Here is a 22,102-nt window from a genome sequence, read left to right as displayed (position 1 = left end):
ACCTTTGTTTCCTTCTATTTCTCTTTGTTTTCATTTCATTCCCTTTCTCTTTTTTTCCCCTACCTGCGTTTGATCTTGTATTTTATACTGTACAGATGTCGTGAGTGGTATATGTGAAGTGAGCTATCATCAGCCTGATGAGGGAAAGCCTGCTGGAAAAAAAATCATAAAGTAAGAAACAAGGCCTGGGATTGGAAGGGGAGCTAATCTGCACAGTTATCAATGTCCTGTTGTGCTTCGTGAAAGATGCCGGGCCCTTTCAATACTACATTTCATGCAGTGATGAAAACGGGATATGGAATATCACCGTGAAAACTTGTTTGATTGGAATAATAATAACTAAGAGGCTGACAATGCAAGCAAACCCAACAGGACCCAATTGTCAAGAGGAAGCTAGACACTGAAACTGCTTCATAACCTCGGCTTTTGTTTAGGGGCCTCCAAGCACCTCCCACCTCCACCAGCCTTTGGAGCCTGGGACCCAATTTGGAAGTCATCTAAGCATTCCACTCCATAAGCTATTATGATTCCTCTTTGGAAAGAAGAGTGGGAACCTGCGACACAGGCACCACAGCGAACACTTTTCAAGATGTTTTGGCCGTAGTGAAGTAGTGAAATACTTTGCTACTATTTTAGTACTGAAATGCACTACTGTGCTTAGGGATAACTGTGTGGAAGATTGAAGCCTTTTGTATTGATTTATATTACTCCGTCTGCCATTTAATAATGATGGCTACCCTGAAAAAAGCACATTGCGCTAACGGTAATTCCACTGGCCTACACCTTTATAAGATTTCATTTTATTCTATTGGCTCAGGGTACTTTAACAACATTTACGTTCTCAATTACCTCTGGGATAGAGGCAAGTTGCCTATGGTTACTGCGAACTGAGATTAAAATCTAAGAGTTCGGCCTCTTAAAATTTCTAGTCAACCCCCTGGACCAAACTCTTTCCCTAAATGGTAAGTGATTTTAAATCTAATGTAACCACTAAAAATATAATAGCCAGAAGCAATTCACATTGCCTTCTATCTTCTGTTTAGTGTTGAGTGAGAGCTTGGTACTTTCTACACCAAACAAATCCAGGCTCATATTCTGCAGGGAAGTGTCAGCTTCACGAAAAAGCATATTTATAATACTATTCTACCCACGAATAGTGAAGTGCATGAGTCCACTGATTTTTCAAATACCTTTAATATAATCTGTCTTGTATTTGAGGGGGTTAAGCACTCATTAAAAACATAAATCATTAATGTATCAAATTATTGCATGTACCCCCAAATATGTACATTTATTATGTATCAATAATAGATAAGTAATTTAAGTGATCATGATAAACTTTTTTTAGGTCTTCCTAATTATGTTGACAGTAACTGCAACTTTTTCTCATTCTCCAGAGACTCATGTGTGTTTTACTCTATAATGAAGCATCAAGCTAGATGTTTTCAAGCAATGTTTCAGGTTTCGCTTTGAACGCATATCCATCATGTCTTCTACTATTTTAAAATTTAAAATGAAAATGCAACAGGTTCAAGTAGGAATTAATAAATTCTGTCATTTATAGAAAAAATCAGTAGCTCTGTCCTATAAGAAAATGAGCATTTCATAAATATTGAATACCACTACCCATATACCCTACAAGTTGGTTAGCTAAAAAGACAGTAGTAATTCCATTACAGGCTTTCAGCAAGGAAAATATAAAATAGTTGAGATAAAGTAGCTGACATTATTTGTTACTATTTTGCTTTTAAAATGTGATGAACAACAATGTCATACATCCCACAAAATTTCAAAGGAAATTTTACCAGTTATTGGAAAACATTGAGCCCCTTATCAGGGAGATTTCTTGTCTTACAAGCTGGGTGACTTGGCTGAATATTTGATTAGTTGTACAAGTAGCATATGCTTCTATCAGGGAATAATTTTAGGCATATAAAATATTCATCAGTATCTGATAGCACCAGAAGTGGAAAGCTGAGGAGTTATCCTGTGCAGAAAAGGACTTAATGTTTCATAATCAGAGAAAAGTGACCAGTGCCCTTTAGTTCCTAAAGAAGGTTGAATTTAGATTAAGGCAGTCTGACTGGTAACTATTTCTTCAAACTAAATGGTTCATTCCTGTCATCCTTTAAAAGTCATATAACTAAACTCTCAATGACTGAATTACTCCAGTTAGAAAATGAAAGTAAAAAGCCCTCCTTGTCACAGGGAGCTGTAAATTAAGCATCGTTAGTAAGTCAGTACTTTAGGATCTTGCTTATGGGAGAATTATGTCCTTTATATTATTCAGTATAAGCACCTTTTCAATATGGGAAAAGCAGATTACATTTTTTCTTTAAAGCAAAGTTTTAGCTTCACGCTAAAACATTTCATTATAAAACAAACATAAGAAATTTTTATCTCTAAACCCCTATGCTTCATGAAGTTTGTAGCATCCATCCAAATGTTTGGCCTCATTTTCAGAGCTCCTTTTTTTGCTTTACAATGGGCCTAAACTCAGCAACATAAATACATATGTACATTGATTTTTCACTTGGATTGAAATAATCAGTTAATCCAGCAGCCAGAAAATAGTTTTGAACATCAGAGATCTCACCCTCATCCCCCACCCTGGCCCAGATCACTTTACCTTTTATTTTTAACTAGTATGTTGGTATCTCATAGACACAGTGTAATGGCTTTCTTACTGCAGAGCTAAATTATAGGAGAGCTATAGGCTTTTCAGTTACTTACAAAATGAGTTGTAGTCGAGATACTCTTATTATACACAAATAAATTGGCTCTATGTCCTAATGGGATTTCAGGCCACATAGCATTGTAGACGAATTATAAGAACAGACTCAGCCACACTTGAAAGAAGGCCCAAACAAGCTTCATACATAAGTACAATCGATTTCCCAGCTCAACAAGTAATTTACCCAAATATTTCTAATCTCAGGAGTCTAAAAGCTGAATAAATTAGCCTTACTTTTGATCAGCATGAATTGTTAGTTGATAAGTTAGCAAGCAGCTATGAGGCTAAAGTTTTATTGTATTGTACATATTATTTTACCACAAAAAGAGAAAATGTTATTTTGAAAATGCTGAATTTATTACTTTAAGACCATTACTGGAAATACTGATATATTGTTCATATATGGCATGATACTTAAACATCTGTTTGTTTTTTTTGGGTATTTTCAAATAATTCCCCTTATATATAAGATTTACTGATACATTCTCGATGGTTTCAATGAAGAATTAATGGTGAATACAGTATTTATTGTACTATAATTTCTTCGCAGTTATTTATTTACACATGATCAATTCCAGGAACTAGCTTTACTAGGTAACTGATATTGAATAACTTTAAGAAAGCTTTTAAATCATCCCCAGATTTGTAAGGCATTTCCTTATTTCTTGGATTACTTAAGCTTACTTATTTCTGGAAATGCCTAATCAAAGCATTAAATTTAAAATAATTGTAAATTGGAGTGCTGATGGCTATTAAAGCGCAATTACTGTATCAGCTCACCAATACTGTCCTATTTGACAATAAAAGCACTGAAATTGTGGTTTGTATTTCCAGCAAATCTTTGTTGAAAGCCACAAACTGGATAATGGTAGGAAAAATTGTTCTAATCATATTTCTATTGTCATAGATAGTGCTATTCCTTTTAAAACCAACAATTCTAAGCAACATGCAAGCTAGAAATAGGCTACTGCTATACTTTCAATACACATTATAGAATTGTGGGAGTTTGTCCTGAACCCAGTAGTTAAATTGAGAATCCCTTCTTCTCTAGAACAGGAAACAAACTTCAAGGACCACCAAGGCTGGAAGGTGATATAAATAAGTGATAAGAGCCACCTGGTGAATGGGCATGTGAACACATTCAGCAAGTAACAGGAATCATGTCCAACTGGAAAGCACACAGCTCGCCTCCTCTCCTCAAGGCAGCAATGGTTGGCTACACTCTTCCAGAAGATTACTGACATCCAGGAATACATTATCCAACATTGCCAGAAACTTCATTTTTTTTACAAAAAAAAAGCAATCAAGGTTTTTATTTGAAATCACCCAAATTTTATATGAATTTTATATTGAAATCACCCAAATTTTATATGCTGCTCATGTTTTTTAATCATTTGCACATATTTGGACTGGATTAAACCTTTGAGCTTCCAGTTTTCCACCTTATCTAGAAGTCTGACAAGTCAATAATATGTTCTTACTATGGGATCATTTTCTACTAAAATCTCATTGCTTTTGGACAGCACTACCCAGCTGGTCAGTACTGGCATTCTCCTGAGTTAAAGAGTAGGTTTTGTATGCCCATTTATAGGGAATGTCCATTGGGCCCAGCATCAAAGTTGCATGTATATATTTTCAGCATATAAAAAGCACCATATACTTAATTTTTGTTTCAGGATAGTCATTGTCTAACAGATTTTATAAAACCATTGTCCATAAAGGAGTTTTCTAAAAAATTAAAATACAGACTTTTCATAAGAAAGAAAAATCATTTAATAATGTAAAATAAGCACTACCCTATTGATAAGTAGCAATGAGGCTACTAAATAAATATGAATAAGTTTCCAACACAAATAATTAACTTTTCAAATTGATTTGGAGAAAGTGTCTATGACCATCTTAAGATCATTGCCTGCACTGTGAACCCACTCCCAGAAACAAACACAACATGGTCTTAGTAATTTAATTTTACTGTTAAAAAAATAGTCTTTTTAAAAATTTTATGACTTAGTGTGAACTGTAGAATGACATTTAATTTTAATCATTAATTAATATTTATTTGTTTGTTTCTATATATATTCTTGATAAAAACTAAGTGTAATACACACCAAAGGACAGATGACTGAGGTGTAGTCTAGCAGAAGTCAAACCAGTTTCTATTCTAGCTCTGCATAGCCATGTAAAATCATTATAGGCTTCAAATTTTTCAAATGTCAAATAAAATTCATAGAATTATTTCAAAAATCATTTGAATAATGATAGCGGCCATATAATTAATCCAATACGCCCTCAATGCTTGAATCTCTTCTAACCATTCATGTACATAGTCTTATAGTGTCTCTCCCTCTCTTGCACACACACACACTCATATATATACACATATGTGTGTATATATAGGGATATATACATATGTCCCTGTCAAATGAAACCAGTCAATCTGTGCTTGTAAACCTGCTACAGAGCTCACAGTTCTTGATAAGGGGTAGTCCATTTTATCTTTGGAGCAACTATGACTATCAGCAAATTCATCCTTATGTTGAAGTAAACTCTATCTTTCTGTTATAGTTACTTATTCTTCCTCCTTGGAACAATACAAATTATGTGTGACAGCACTATATATTTCAATACAGTAAACTGAATACAGCTAATACATCATCTCCAAGTTTTCCATTTTTCAGGCAAAACAACTTAAGTTCCTTCAATCATTCTTATAATAGGTTAAATCCTCCCTAATATCATGTTCACTTCTAAATACCCTACAGCTAGTGTAGCAGCATCCTCTTCTCTATGTCTGGTTCTAGAATCAAATATAATCCTCTAGGTGGGAGTTAGTGAGCACACTGCACAGAATTGAAAAGAACTACTACTTAAGTATTCCAGATCCTATGCCTCCCAAAACATATTTTTGTTAAGCAAGTATGACGATTAATTTTATGTGTCAACTTGGCTAGGCTATAATGCCCAGCTGTTTGTTCAAACACCAATCTAGATGTTGCTATGAAGATGGTTTTTAGATATGATTGTTATTTACAATCAGTAGACTTTGAGTGAAGCAGATTGCCCTCCATTATGTAAATAGGCCTCATCCAATGTGAACGCCTTAAGAATAAAGACAGAGGTTTCCCAAGAAAGAAGCAATTCTGCAACATAGAAGCCCTACCTGAGGTTCCCACCTGCTGCAATTTCAAGCTCAGGAATACATCAACCCCTCACTGGATTTCTAGCCTGCCAGTCCGCCCTACAGATTTTGGACTTCCCCACAATTGCATAAGCCAATTTCTTTCTTAAAACATTCCCTAGATAGATATATAAATTGATAGAGAGACATTAAGACATTGAGATCGACAGAGATATACCCTATTGGTTCTGTTTTTCTGGAGAATCCTGACCAATACAGCAAGCCAGTTTTATACATGCTGCTGCTAAACTCCATCTCTCCTATCCTATAATTAATTTTATTTTTAGTTTTTATTTGTCCATACCCAAAATGAAAGAAATTATATTTATTCACAATAAACTTCATTCTATTTGAGTTGACTCATTATTCTTGGGGGAAGGATTCTTTTGGAGACCTAAATCTGGTCTCCCACGTATTCACTATCTGTCCAGCTTTATCTCAAATACAGATGATAGAATCATACTTGCTTCACCAAGCCCAGTTCCAGAAGTTCAATCCATATAAGAGTTACCTCTGTAAGAAAATAGTTTAACACCAGCAATAACCAATGTGAGTGTTATTCTTGTTTTTCCAAAGCATAAATAACTATTTTTAAATCACACTAGAAAAATTATAAAGCTCAAATTTAGTAATACAGTTTATTCCTACCCAGCTTACTAAATTTTCAGAAGAGATCATACCCTTTGAATGAATAATCCCAAATAAGTATTGAATTGAGCCTGTGTACCCCAAGGGGATTTAGACCATCTGCTAATTTTGCTGGGCAAAGGGTTTTTTGGTACAGTTTTACATACTTTCAGCTTTGGAAAAATAGAATCCAATTTGCCTCCAGCTCTCATCTTTTTTTCCCACAGTTAAATACTTTGTCTATTTAAAACAAACTTTTGAAACCACTTCGTGTTATTTAAAACCCAATGTATTTCTTCCCCACAATGAACACAGCTGGGGATATTAAGGCCACTAAAAGACTATTTTGCAAGCAGACACAATTCTTTCTTAGAAACTGGTGTCCTTTAAAAATTATTTCCTGAAACATTTTTAACCTTTACATAAACAATTATTAGGTCAAATAATATTTTTATTTGGTCCAATAAATATTTTGGAAGGTGAACAATATTACATTTTGAAGCATGACACAAATCTGTTGGAATTTTTATCTGACCACCATTCCCATCTCCCTACCCTCTCTGTGAACACAGGCATGTGTAGCAAGCCTTTCATGAACAAGAAATCCATTCAAGATTTGGATTCCTGGGCCAGTTCTCAGTCAGCAGGTTTCCTATGCACTTGTAGGTGCCAAACAGCAACTCTCCTGTTTCTCCAAAAGAATTCTTAATAGAGGGGGGAATAAACTTTAAATGGCTTCCTGATTTCACCATTTCTAAAGACCAATGTTAGGTTGCTGAAAGACTACCTCATTTGTGCCTTCAGGTGTCTAACAAGCTTTAGAACAGAGTAAATGATGTAATGATTTTTTTCTTTCTTTTTTGGTGGAATAAATATTAGAGTAGCTAGCAATCTGTTGCATTTTTGTGCATATAAATTTTTGAGCAATGTTTTTTTGAAAACAGCACTTCTATGGTGTTCTAGTTTTCAGAATTTCAGGCTTTCATGAGAAATTAAAGATTAACATTATAGTAATTCTAATAATAATCTGTGTAGTAATAGAAAAACAAAAGTAAAGTAATGCATGTGTTTGCCCCATACTGATTCTGAACTCCACTCCAAGCAAATATTTGCTCATTATCTGAATACAAAAAGTAAAATGTCCTCAGGGTGGGAGTGCATCCATAAACTCCTAGTCTACAGATGTGAAAAGCCAGTTTGCAGCAATAGTTCCACATATTCATGTCCAATCAGATCAATATGCAATCAAGATGAAAAAGGAAATAAAATTCACACTGAAAGGAAGACTCTCCAATTGATCAAATATGAAATTAAAACAGGAGGTAAAACACTAAAACTATTACTTTTATGAATATGATCAGTAGTCTGGAAAATGAGTTTCATACAGATATAATGACCCCTCAAGAATAATTTGTGCAAAACCTAATCAATGTTGTTAGCCTTGTGTAAATCATGCCTCTTGGTTATGATTTCTTCTCCTAAAGAATGTCCATTATCCCCTATGCTTTCTGAGGCACAAGACTACCAAATAGCCACACTTGAACCATGTGATCCTGCAAGTTTATTTGTGAAGATTTATTTGACTTCGATCCACAGTGGAGCTCTAACCTTGAAATCAAGGTAAGGCATTACTAAAATAAACAGCTTTATGGAAGTCAGCTTTTAATCACTGTTTCAGCAAAAAATGGAAACTCCATAGGTAATTGTGTTTACTGATATTCATCCTAAGGAATTTTCCTTCTTTTCAGAGGAGGTGTTCCTTCCTCAAGTTTTAAGAAATATAAGCCAAAAGGATTTAGAAGGATTTGGAAACAAATACTCCATATAATCTGAAATTAAGGAATTAGATTATATCTTTGATAGTTTAACATGTTTTTAACATAATTTTATTTTGTATAATTCCTACATTACACAGGAAATATTCTGGGCAGTGATATGTGTGGGTATGTGCTATGGTTTGAATGTCTCCTCCAAAACCCATGTTGAAATTTAATTGCCACTGTAACAGTATTAAGAGGTGGTGTTTATCAGAGGTGACCAAGCCATGAGGGATCTGCCCTCATAAATAGATTAATGCCATTATCTCGAGAACAAGGAGTGTCCTCCTACACTTTATCTTAGCCAAATGGTGGAAAAACGATGGAGTACTCTCCTGATAAACACATAAATCTGACCCCTATTTTTCTCTCTGTCTCTTGCACCTGCTCTTCCTCACCATGTGATTGTCCTTCTGCCATGTTATGATGCAGCCAGAAGGCCTTCACCAGATATGACTCCTTGATCTTGAACTTTCCAGCCTCCAGAATGATAAGCCAAGTAAACTCCTATTGTGTATAAATTGACCTGTCTGCCATATTCTGTTGTAGCAGCAGAAAACAAAGACAGTATGTTTTTGTCAACATTTGTGTATTCTGTTTATTGAGGATCTCAGGGTCCATTGTACTAGATATCTGGTTAATAAAATATTTTAAGAATCAAGTATGTTTCCTCAAGCTCACTATGCTATCACATTTGTTTGTTTAGATTATTATTATACTTCCAGACTGATTTAAAGGATCTTATAAATAAGAAGAGTAGATATAATAAAGGTTTTGTGACAAATTTAAAGGACAAACGTCAAACAGTGAAAAGGGGATTTAGTGTATAAGAGTGTATAAGGGACCATTGACTAAGATATGAACAGTGTTTTTAATAGCAACTCACAGAAAACAAAGAACACAGCCATTCTTTTTTTAGACTGTTTCTTATCATTGCTTCTTTAAAAAAAAAGTTGAGAAGCAAAGTTAAATTGCAAGAAATCTCTCTTTCCTGTAAGTCTCTAGATGGTCTGCTGATAATTTTTCTTTCTTTCATTCTCAGTTTCTGCAGAAATCATCCCTGTGCTAGACATTTTTAAGTGCCCTCCTAATATCTATTCGCTAAATTTTTCTTTCTAATAGAATAGAAATTAACTTAATGGCTAATGTTTCTGTTTGAAAATACTTAGCTTTCCACAATCCCATGAATCTGAGGATGGGCGTGTGATCCAGTTCTGACAAATAAGTGTAAATGGCAACTACAGGGTTGGGCTTTTCAGTGTTACTGTCTTCCTGAGAAATGGAGCAAACCTACTCAGTGTATCTTTTGCCCTTCATTTTTTCCCTTTTTCTCCTTCTAGAATTGAAACATAAGGTCTAGAAGGGTAATAGGTTTTTTGTGCTTGTGAGCATGAGGAAAACAACATTGGTGTAAGGATGGCAAAACTAAAAGCTAGAGGGCATCTGGGACATCGATGTGATCATATCACCATAACAACCCTGGACTTTCTGCCTGCAGACTATTACATAAAGAATAAGATAAAATAATAACATAAAGCACTTTCTTTAAGTTTCTGTGACATACAGCAAAAAACAAACTTAATTCTTGAACTTCCTTTATGTGTCCCAGTCCCAGTCTGGTTTAGGTGCTCCTCCTTGCCTCTGTGACATTTCATACAAACCCAGTATATTTAGAGTGGCACCTGAGCCTCATTGCATCGTGCTGAAAGGTGGATACTGGAGGATAGGAAAAACAGCATTTTATTATTTGCTATAAATAAATAATCATAACTCTGCTCTGTTCCAGAACCCTTATGTTGGCATTCAGGACAATAAACACAGTATTAAAAACGATGTCTCTCTTATTTTTCATAGCTCTGATCATTGCCTGATGGTACTGGGTATCTGTGTCACTCTGTGGCAGTCCATGAGTACAGAGCCATGACTGTGTTCATGACTACTGCCTAAAAGAGTTTCTAGTAAATAGCAAAATATCAATAAATACTAGTCAAATATATAAATTAATCAATCATTGAAATGAAATTTTTTGAGAACTGAATATTGTAGCTTTCTACTGATTTAATTTAAAGCAGAGAATAGATTGTAAATTTTAAAAAATTGATTGTTTATCCCAGTGGACTCATAAAGGATGGCATATGTGTGTATATATATATATATATATATATATATATATATATATATATATATATATATTTGAAAATCAAGGCTTCTATAAATACCTGAAATAAAAATTTTAAATGACTTACCTATTAGTTATAGAGTTGGTGAGATTTGAGATTTATTTTATATAAATATTGAATAACTTATCTGTATTCCTACCCAGCTGCAAAACAATAGAGTTGGGAAGAATGAAGACTTTTCAGCAATTTTAGTTCTTTCCAAGGTATGTTCAATAATGCAGTTAAACCCCTGGAGCACAGCTTCATCCATTAACTAAAAAACAACTTTAAGAGTATGCTTTAATAATTTTCAATCTCTAACATGTGAGTGCTGAGAAAAACTTAAATTTGAGGAGAATCACACCTTAATGGCATTTCAAGATGAGCTACTCCCACAGAACCTGCAGAATAAACTTGTTAAGCATCATCCACTTGGATATGTAATCACAACTTCAAAAATGATAACTTTCATTTTGTTGAAGTTGATATTGAGCTCTTACTTCTGATAACATTTGCACGATATGTTCAAGCTGACCACCTCATTGTATAAATAAAAGAAACATGTTGACACCATAAATAATTGGAAAATGCAATTCTGAACGATTTCACTCAAAGAGAAAGATAGGCTCTGAATTACAGCAGTGGATTAGAGGATGGCTAGAGGTAGTCATTCTTTTTAAAACATTTTAAACTGTGGTTTAGAATAAAAATCATTCATTTTTTAAGAACTTCTGAATGTAGCAGGTATTTTTAAAGTTCTAACATAAGAAATTAGTAAAAATTACCTAGAATTTGAGGAGAAAGTAAGCAAAATATAAACTTCTACAAGTGAAGTTAACCATAATCGATATATTTGATCAACCATTTAGAGAAGTGTCCATCCTAAAAACTTGTATATAAATGTCTTGGTACTGAGGATAAGGGTGTATAGACAAATTCCACAGAGGAAAGGACCCCAAAACTATAAGCAATAGAAGATCAATTACATATCTAAAGTTGCAATACCCAAGGTCTTCAGAAGGGTGAAATCCTGGTAAACAAGAGTTGAGAATTACATATTGCAATTACAGGTTGAGATGAGGGTAACTTGTGTAGTTGTGTGTCAAGCTTATGCCATAGAAAAGGGTGCCCTTCTAGGTTTAGAAACCTAGCCTTCTCAGCAGGTTTATTTCTATAGTGAAGAAGGATGCACAGCAATCTATTAGCATGGTTTCAAAGTTAATTTAGACTTTTCTCTGAGTTTTCTGAGAATTATCTGATTTTCCAAATGGACATCTCTTCTGTGAAGAGATCCTTAGTGTACAACTGTATGACTGCCATGCCTGGTCATATTAATTATAAAAGCAATATATTTTGAAAGCAAGCGTTTCTGTCAGATCCCATCACAGACTTACATTTCCAAAGACAGTTAATTGTCATTGATTAGTATTATATAATTAAATAAAAACAAAATAGCTTTTAAGTGATGTAGAATAGAGAATTTTAGAGCTGGGAGGAATCTCGGGAAGCATACAGCCCAACTCTTTCACTTAACAAAGAGAAAACCAAGGCCCAAACGGGCGAAAGATCCAAGGTCACCGGCTGGTTAGCCCAAGGGCAAGAAATGGAGCCAAAACCATCTCACCCCCAATCCAGGCCTCTTTTAAAGAAATTGAACAGGACAAAGAAGAATAAATTTTCTTTTACCAATGATTCAGACATTTAAAAAAATCAGAATTAGAAACAACTGGTCTATCTGGTTATAGCTGACACTGATGGAACATGCTAGTATAAGTTTAGAAGATAATTTGGCACCACAATGAGTAAGCAGTTACCACTTTGATGGTCTCATTTAACACACTTTACATTCATGCATTTGAATTCAAAGCCACCTGGAAGAGGTGGACCTGTTCCTCCCAAATTTTAGGTTCTTGTTCCTTATACCACATGACCTCAAGCCTTCTGTTAGTTATCTTGCTTTCCTTTCTGCTATTGATAGTCAACATGTCTATCTGATTTAAATGAAATATTTAAGCAACTAAAACATTCTACTTTTATGAGGCATAGATTTGGAACAATAAAAATTGAGAAATCACCCTTCTCTTTAGATTCTTAGGTAAGTATAAATAGGGCAAGGTAACTCAAAATGGAATCTTGTGGGTGTTGGGTAAAGAAAAGGTAAGGAACTTCATCTTTTCCCTGCAAATCAGAGAATGAACCAAATGTGTAACTCTCAACAATCTACTTATTTGGAGAAATGTATGGATTATTAAGTGCACTTATTATGACTCTTGCTTTGGGATTATCATAAAACAAACGCTTTTCTCATGACTCTACTCCACTTTACAATACTTGTAATATAGCAAATAGTCATCTATTAATCATAATTTTCAGTTAAAGGAATATCACAGCAGCTGTTACAAGCTCAAAGATACTAATATCTTCCTAAAAATATGTTGTTGTTTCAAGGACTGGAAAAGTGTATAGTACTATGCTGAGTAACTCTGTGGGGAATGTCTCTGAGAATATTACAGCTTTGATATGGCTTTTCTGTTATATAATACGTAACCTTGTGTCCCAGTAAACCACTTGGCTGATGGAGTTATTCTCATCTGCACATTTTGATCCTGAGTGCTGTCTCTAGGAAGAAAATAAGTAGAGAACAACTTTCTAGTGTCCAAGCACTTAGAGTTGAACTGGAAATACAGACCATACACAAGAGATAGCCGAAGAGTTAATACATCTTGCTCTGCATTGGCTCTGGCCTCTACTTACAGTTGTGCTGCTTAGAACTAGATCAATTGAGTTTTGTTTATACTGGAAGGGAAAAATTCACCATCATATGTTACATCGAATCCTAATAGAAACACCTGGAGCACAAAAGCAAAAGGAGATTTGCTATTCACTGACTCTCACCCGAAACATTCATCTCAATTCGAACTTAGGTTAACATATAGGCACTGGTTGTGTCCTCTGGGACAATTCACACATCCTCTAAAATTTAGAATTTTGAAATGAATGTTTAGGTGAAGGCAGAGTATCCAGGCAGCCTACATTTTAAAGGCTCAAAATGAAAAAAGGCACAGAAAAATAAATCAGCGGGACAACTTAGTGGTAAATACCTCATTTTCTTGTTGTGTTTACCCTTCTGATCCAAAAGAACAGTAATGTATATCCTCTTATTGCATTCTTAATAAGGTTATTTACACGCATATCCAATGAGTTTATGCTGCATGCAATAAATTCTCGGCTCTGAAATGTGGGTGAGATTGTAGACATCATTATTGGAGGAATTAACCTTGTAAATAAGGAGCACTCTTATTGAAGCTCTGGATTTTGATTATTCAAGAGTGACACGGGAATATAGGCAGTTTTCTGCAGAATTATAATGATCAGCCTCACATAATACCACTCACTATGAATAAGTAATACCATCTGGGCAACTAGTGAAGAATTCTGACTTCATTTTTTAAATGTCTAGGTACTACTTTGCAATTTTCCATGCCAACAGAGGAAAGAAATACTGTGAATATCTCTGATACATGGAATTAAGGTCTTGTTCATCTGTAGTGATCTGTATCATCAACTGGTTGGGCTTGACAAAGTTAGGAAGAGGAAATCTAAGTAGAGTAGAACCTTCTCAATTCACACCGCCTGTTACTCACATCCTCCAATATGCCCCAGAGATTCCTTTATGGCCCACCTACCACTCAACCATACCTATGTGACTTCAACTTCCACAGTTAAGACACATCAGGATAAACTAGAAGTTTATTAATTTCCTGATTTGTGAAGAAGTTATAGGAATCTAAGGGTATGATTAAGCTATTGAATTAAAGCCCAAAAATGGGTTACTGAGATCAAAAGGAAAAATTAATATTTTCTCACTTAGGTAAAAGCCTCAGATAATGTTATGTGAATTTAACTCCAGCCAGTTTTCTAACAAAGAAAAGCCTCTGAGGATTAACATGGGACTGAAGATTCTTCCACTGATTCTTTCTCCACCAATTCATGATAGTTACATATATGTTGAAGAGGTACAAGAAGAGGATATGTCAGAGAGTCTATAATTCGGATGAATATTAAATTTTTTCCTAGTAACTTGGAAACAAAAGCTCATCTATCTGTTGTCTTTTGAGCCCATGTATAAAACCTAACCACCATGCCTAAGAATCAGGGAGTAGATGGATGGAGAATTTTTTTTTCTCTCTCTCTCATATGAATACATACAGAATATATCGCATCCACAATAGTAAATATAAATCCCATTGCACATTATGGTATAGGCAGGGTTACAGAATGAACGTATTTGTGAAAATTGTAAAGCTGCTATTTGTGCACTTTAATATCTGTAAATTATATCTCACAAAATAGAACTGTAAATAATAATAATAAAGTAGGGGTGGGAAGTGGGCAGAAGCAAATATAAAACAAGAATGGCTGAATATTGATACATTTTGAAGCAGGATGATGGGTGCATAGGGGTACATTATGCTATTTTGTTTACTTTGAATAGGTTTGAGATTTCCCATAAGAAAAGGTTTTAAAAACACTAATAGTTTTAGTTTCATTATCCCACAGTCACAGCTTTTATCGATATAAGGACCATGATTAAAATCCACTAATATCTTTGACATTTAACAATGCAGACTGAAGACATCACCTTCACACAGCCCTACCTGAAGGAAACAGCTTGACATTTTCTAACCTCTGGGTTTTTGCTTGAATAAAGATGGGACATTTAAAAAGCATTCTCATTGTCATCAAATATTGTTCTATTGCCTTGGAAAGTCAGGGATACCCAAGCAACTCTACACAGTTAGGATTTTTAGGCCTGCAATGTTGTCGCCATTTCTTTCCACTACCTTAAATAGACTGAGCTACTTGGACTTACCAATGTCCTCTCACTACCGACTTAGCCTTTATTAATTCTACTACTGTATTTCTGAGATCCTCAGATTAAAAATACTCTGTACTATTACACAGCATCCTACTTAAATTACTGATATATCAATACTGAAGTCTTTATAAAAAAGTTTAGTTGATGTTCAAGCTTTGGTACAATTAAAAGTGAAGGTAAAACTGCTTTACAAGCACAGATATCTTGAAATTATTATGTAAGAAATGGTTAGTGCCCAATAAATGTTTAGTGAATGAGTGAATGGTAGAAGAGAGATATTTAAGTGATTTAAAATTTTTTCTAATTGACTTTGAAGACAGAAGTAAAAAAAGAGCAGTAAAATACTTAAACTAAAAAAGAGCATTTCAAAGATTTCATATTTAGTGTCACTGGGAAGCATTTATGGACTTCTTGTGGGCTAAGAAATGCCTCATTTTACTGAGGCATTTTTAAAAATACATATAGCATTTTTTAATTATAGAAAGGACTATTGGTCTAATAACTGCTAAGAGAAGCAGTCAAATCTCTAGGGGAAAAAAATGCCTTTACTTACAACGCATTTATTATGAGGATAGCCTTAGTTTGCTAAGTTTAACTTTGGTGAAAACTGGTTTTAAAAGATCTAACCATTGAAACCTAAAATGAGACAAAAAGCTTTGTGGAGTCTAAATTAGCTGAATAGTTACTTTTTCTCTCTTCTTTGCTACAGTTTTTGTGCCAAATACTAAGTAGCAACAGCTTAAGAATTTAAATAATCCTAACCACTCTTCAACAAAGGGGCTATACTAAATCTGCACTAAGCATTCTACACAATGGTTTTCTTTTTGTAACAAAGAGTAGCAAGTCAATCATTATCAACATCAAAAGCCAAAACTAGTAAATTAAAATTTAGACAAAATCAGCTGGTTTTGCTCCTGCCATATTGCAGTGCCTAAGTGCCCAATCCTTCATTTCAAAGAACATTAGACAGTGAATGCTCTTCTTTCTAGAAGCAAGCCAAAAGAAGTATATGCAAACTTCTAAGGTATCGTGTGAAGACAAAGCACCAATCCAATGGACTGAGTGCCCATAATCTGTGAGAAATTCAGAGGAGATGAGAACAAAAGCTTCACATTGTATGCACTTCATACACAGCCTTTGAAACACTAAGCTTTGCAGCAGCAAAAGCACAAAATTGTGCAGTCCTGTCAAATGTTACATTGCCAGAGGACGAAAATATCAGTAAGGACTGCATCTAGAAATTGCATTTTAGCAGTCTTTTGAGATGCACACAATGCACATAAACACACACATACATATATATGTGTGTCTATATGAGAGAGAAAGAGATCTCTCTGCATAGCTCATTATAGAGCAGGAATATTGTAGCTGACATGTCATTCATATGACTAACGATATAATCCTAATTTTCTCTCACTGGCAAGTTTTTGATGCTTTTTTCCTTCAGGGCTACACCTTGTTTTCTTCTTAGAGTCAGCTTAACAATGAGTTGTGATGGAAATTTTGTCCTAAAAATGTTTAGTCATGGGTGCAATGGGTTAGAAAATGCTAAGAAAGCAGAGGAAATGACTCATATTGGTTTGAAATTCATGTGGAATGAAAATATTCCACACCTGTGGTCAGCTCCTGGTCTGGGTTAGTAGCCTCATGCTGAATATCATAGGCCAAAGGGAGACTAGTTTGAAGAGTGGTGAGAGGTCCATTGCTACGGGCAGTAATGGAAAGTCAGCAGGATGACCATTCTTCCTCTTTGTATTTTTTTTATTAGTGTATGGGTTGCTGCATCAGGTGTGGAAATAGGAAGAAGTGTGGGACAATATCTCTACCCTTGAGCATCACACTATCCCAATGAGGGAAACAAGACACATAAATTAAATAAATAATAAATGATAAAGTACAGTATATTTCAAGGACCAAGTAAATAGTGCAGTCAGTAAGTGTGGAAAGAGTAAAGAAAAGGGAGAGATATAGTCAGGGGAAACTTCTGAAAGAGACAACCATGGTGCTAGCCCTTCTGAGCATGGAGAAGGCAGAGGGTGGGTATTCGGCAAAGGGACCCCCGGCTTATCCCCATAGAGAAGCCTGGGACCCTCCAGCCAGGGAAAAACACAGCTCAGACTTTCCAATGTGCGTAGCAGGAGGTCAACTCTTGTTTTTATTCCAGTACCTCTAAGCCTACGACTCATCCTTTAGTTAGCGACAGGAAATGTGAGAGACTGTGTTCAACATAAAATTTCCTACATAAAACCCTGCTGAGAAAAGTGCACATCAAGGAAAATCATTCAAGACATTTACTCCTCAAGGATTTCTAAGCTCTATGCTTGCATCAGGTTAGAGCTTCATAAAGCTACACATCATGACTACCTTAGCTTGGACTAAAAGGACTAAAAACTTTCTTTACTGAGTTATGCTTTAAAATTAAACTCTCTGGCCAGGCGTGGTGGCTCACTCCTGTAATCCCAGCATTTTGGAAGGCTGAGGTGGGTGAATCACTTGAGCCCAGGAGTTCAAGACCAGTCTGTCCAACATGGCAAAACCCCATCTCTACTAAAAATACAAAAATTAGCAGGGCATGGTGGTGCACACCTGTAATCCCAGCTACTCAGGATACTGAGGCACGAGAATTGCTTGAACCTGGGATGTAAAGGTTGCAGTGAACCGAGATCACACCACTGCATTCCAGCCTGGGCGACAGACAGAGACTCTATCACAAAATAAATAAATAAACAAACAAACAAACAAACTCTCTGACTTGGAAAAATCTATCAAAAATAATAATCCCATAGTCTTTGATCCAGTAATTCTAATTCAAAAAATGGTTCCTAAAAACAATTTCCCTCGAGTATATTAATGTGTATACATGATCGTTTCGGTATTTTTTATTTTTTTCTTTGTAGTTGAGAAAGACTGGGCAAATAGATACACCTTAATGCAGTTAACCCATCCTCTGAAAATATGTATTTACCATGCAGACATTTAAAAAAGAATAATTTATCTGTCCATATACTGACCGAGAACTAGCAAACTAGGAGCCGATATCTACATGATGAGAAGGAATCATACATACGATGATCTTGGATTAGAACATAAAAGCCTTAGGTGACAACAAAAGCAAAACTCTGTAGACAAGATGTCCTGAAGGATCATAATGAAGGCCACCCATGACTGAAGTGAGGTGGATAAGGAATGAGAGGCGATGAAGACTGATATCTGGGCATGGAGAAGATTACATATAGCCCTGAAGATTGTGGCAAAGAATGACATTGTAACCTAAAAATAATGGAGCCAGCACAGTATTTTAAGCAGATACATGGTTTATCTTTTAAAATAGTCACTCTACCCTCTGTATGAACATGAAGTATACAGGTGTAACAGCAGGGTGGGGATACAAGATAGGTGGCCATTGCAGCAGTCCACGCAAGAAACAGTGTGATCACAGGGCAAATGTGGTGGAGTAAATGGTGTGGGGAAAGATTCTGGAGATAAAATGCTTGCTTCCTCTTCCTTTTCATAGTTCTTGTTTTGCTTCATTACTAATGTACTAGCGTTGTTATACATGTGAATTTTATTGTTCCATCTTGTATCCTTTTGGAAAACAAGTGGGGCATGAATATAAAGTTATAAATAAAAGTGTGTGCGTGCATATGTGTGTGTGTGTGTGTGTGTGTGCGTGCGCACGCATAAAAGCACAAGCTAAGTAGCAGCAGTATAAATATGCATGTGGGAAGAGCATGAGCCAAGAATCCAATAGACATGCCTTCAAACTTGTGTTTTTAAAGATTTTATTTTCTTTACATTTAAAAGGCATGATCTTTACTAAATATGCTCATGGTGGTGTGAAGATTAAGAGTTAATATTAAAAATGCACAGCACAGGCCACATTGAAGATGGTCAGTAATTGCTTGGGATTAAAAATGGGAAGAACCCTGGATATTATGCCACAGAAAAGATCTAGGGATTTTTGCACAGAGGGCTACAGTGCAAAACAGTGTTTTAGGAAGATGTCTCTGGAGGTAGTATATAAAGGGGAAAGGCCAGTTAGGAGATTATTGCATTCTTCACAACATCTATATTAGAAAGAGAAGGAAGAGATCTCATTATCACCCTTGACAGACAAAGAAGAGAATGACTCACCTTAGGTCAAACAACAAATCAGGGGTAGAAATGAGACTGGGCTGGAACTCACACTTCCTGATCTAAGTACGCTAATTCCCTAGACCTCTGCTGCCTACATTATTCAAATATGGTATGTGAATTTGGCTATTCATATGACCTTCTTCAAATATTAAAGCTAGCTGCAACCCACTAGATAAATAATATACCAAAGGTCAAGAGTATATAGGAAATAGTGGTTTTCCCTAAGTTCAAAAAAAATCCCCTTCCTTGAGAATTGTCTCTATTAATTTTCAATTTTTTCTAAAATCAAAGCTTTTATTTAAATGGCATCAAACCTCCTCTTTGCTACTGCTGAATCTATATGTATATATGAGTGTATATTATGTGGGTGTGCATTCACACACACATTTATCTTAAGTGTTAAAGTGATCTGTCTCCATTAACTCAACTGTGCAGAAAACACTTTTAAAGAGAAATTATTACTTAGTTCACCACATCTTTAGAACAAGTAAAGGTTTTGCAAATACCTCAAGGAAGTATTATACTCAGTAAATGTGGGAATTTGAAAGCCCTGATGATTAGTGAAGGCAGCGGCCTAGACTATGAGAACAAAGCACAAAGTCACGTAAGATCCTTCATTAGTAATAAACTGCGATAATTGCATTAAGATCCAGTGTATATTCAGAACAGGGAAAGGTGAGTGAGGTGGTATCCTGAACAGGTGGCAGATAATGTCATCTTCTAAATTCGTGCAGGAGTAGCAATGCACAGGACTCCCTGTCCTAGAGAGGCACCTTCTGAAATAGAATACAAGAGACTGACATAACACAGACCAAATATCACTACTTGTCAAAATTTAAGGCTTTAATTTTTAAAATGCTTCATCAGAGTTCTCCTACTCACTTCCAATTTATAGCTGAGAAAGGCACCTAGATTATTTTTGAGCAGCGGGGCAGTACTGGTTGACTTGTTGATTGAAGAGTCTCCCATCAATCCTCCTTCTCCAAGCAACATTCAGTGGCAAAGATGGGGCTTTACTAAGTCTACCCAATTAAGATATTCCAAAAATATTACGTTAACTGAAGCAGTAGGAGGAAAGAGAGAGCAAGAAAAACAGGACCATTGCTCACAGTCTGTCTGCCATTGATTCTGGTGTGGGAGCTCTCCCCATTGCACAGCATTCTTACATATCTTGTAATCCCTTAATTCCCTTGATAGTGAAGCTGGCACTGGGTATGCACAAAGTAGATGATCCAAAAATTTTTTTCTGACTGTAATCAAATTGAAGGATATGAAAAATTTTCTGTGAGGAGTGGTGGAATTTATTCAAAAGCAACTAACATAAGCATCAGTCCTTATTTTCTTCCTCTCCTCCTTTTTATTAAGTAGAATTTATTGTGTGCCTGTAATTAATACTAAGCACTTTACCTGCATTATTTCATACAATCCTCACTGCAAACCTATGCCATAGGTACCAAGAAATCTGCATTTTAGAAATGAGGATACCGAGGCATGGTTAGTAAGTAGTGGGGCCAGGGCTCTAATCATTTAACTTTTGAGTACATATTTTTAACCACTCTGTTTAGAGAAATTGCCAGATGTGGAAATTGAGGCTAGAAAGAGAACAGCATGTTCATAGACCACCGAGCTGTTCAGTATAGCTGGTGGAAAGAGGAAAGAGCGTAACAGAGTGCCGTGGTCAAAGGCTCAGGCTTTAGCCAGCACCACTCCATCTGAATGCTGCCTCTGCCACCGGCTAACCCTGCAATCTCAGAAAAGTTACTTATCTTCTCCCAGCCTTAGTGTCCTCATCGGGACTGTGCTGTATTAGCTATTATTCACAGTATTACCACATCTCCTTGATGCTGATGGGCACGTTTTTTCACAGTTTTATGTAGCTAAAAATCAGGATGTATTATGTAATCAATACCAAATAATCTTTTCAGCTGAAAGATGTAACCCATTAGTTTTTGTTCTGAGTGTAGAAAACTAGTCTGCGTGAAAGGTGTTTGTTCATTAACTTGTCTGAGTTCGGTGCGTTGGTAGCATCACATGCAATTTAATTTTCACTGAAATATGAATACCCAATTGTCACTTAAACGTCTTCAAAAAAGATTACTCTATGAGGCCTATGAAGCAGCTTGCATGTGAAGACTGTTACAAACAGGTAATGCAATTAGAGGCAAAAGATATAGACAATGTTTTAGAATAAATCATAAGACTTTTAAAAGTAGTGAAGCACAGCACGGCTGATTCATGCATTGCGATGGACTATCACTGAGGCACCAACATCTGCCTGACAAATGCTTCTCCTAGGTTTTCAAGAGAAACTATTAAACTTCCAACAACATGTAATTCAATTAAAGAAAAAATTGAACCATGAATTAACAAGTAGGAAATGCAAACAAAACATCTTGAAATGACAATATCTGTCTCTAAAGAAATCATGAACATGCATTATTAAAAGCAGCATGTCAAGACCAAAATACATAATTTCTAATAGCCTGAAGAAAGTCAGAAGAATCATTAAACTTTGACTGTAAAGGAAACTTGAGCTCCAAGTTTAATTATGCTATTTAAAAGGATAGGAAT

At 35.5% G+C, this 22,102-nt stretch overlaps 1 protein-coding gene across 1 annotated transcript in view; it reads right to left on the bottom strand.

Moving 5' to 3' along the window:
- Nucleotides 1–22,102, bottom strand: part of ZPLD1 (zona pellucida like domain containing 1) — a 94,698-nt gene that overhangs the window by 61,900 nt on the left and 10,696 nt on the right. The window lies entirely within an intron of this gene.

The sequence above is a fragment of the Homo sapiens genome, chromosome 3, assembly GCF_000001405.40.
Source record: "Homo sapiens chromosome 3, GRCh38.p14 Primary Assembly".
In the NCBI taxonomy this organism is placed as follows: Eukaryota; Metazoa; Chordata; class Mammalia; order Primates; family Hominidae; genus Homo; species Homo sapiens.
The sequence above is the reverse complement of the archived record's forward strand: the minus strand, read 5'-3'. Positions and strand labels throughout refer to the sequence as shown.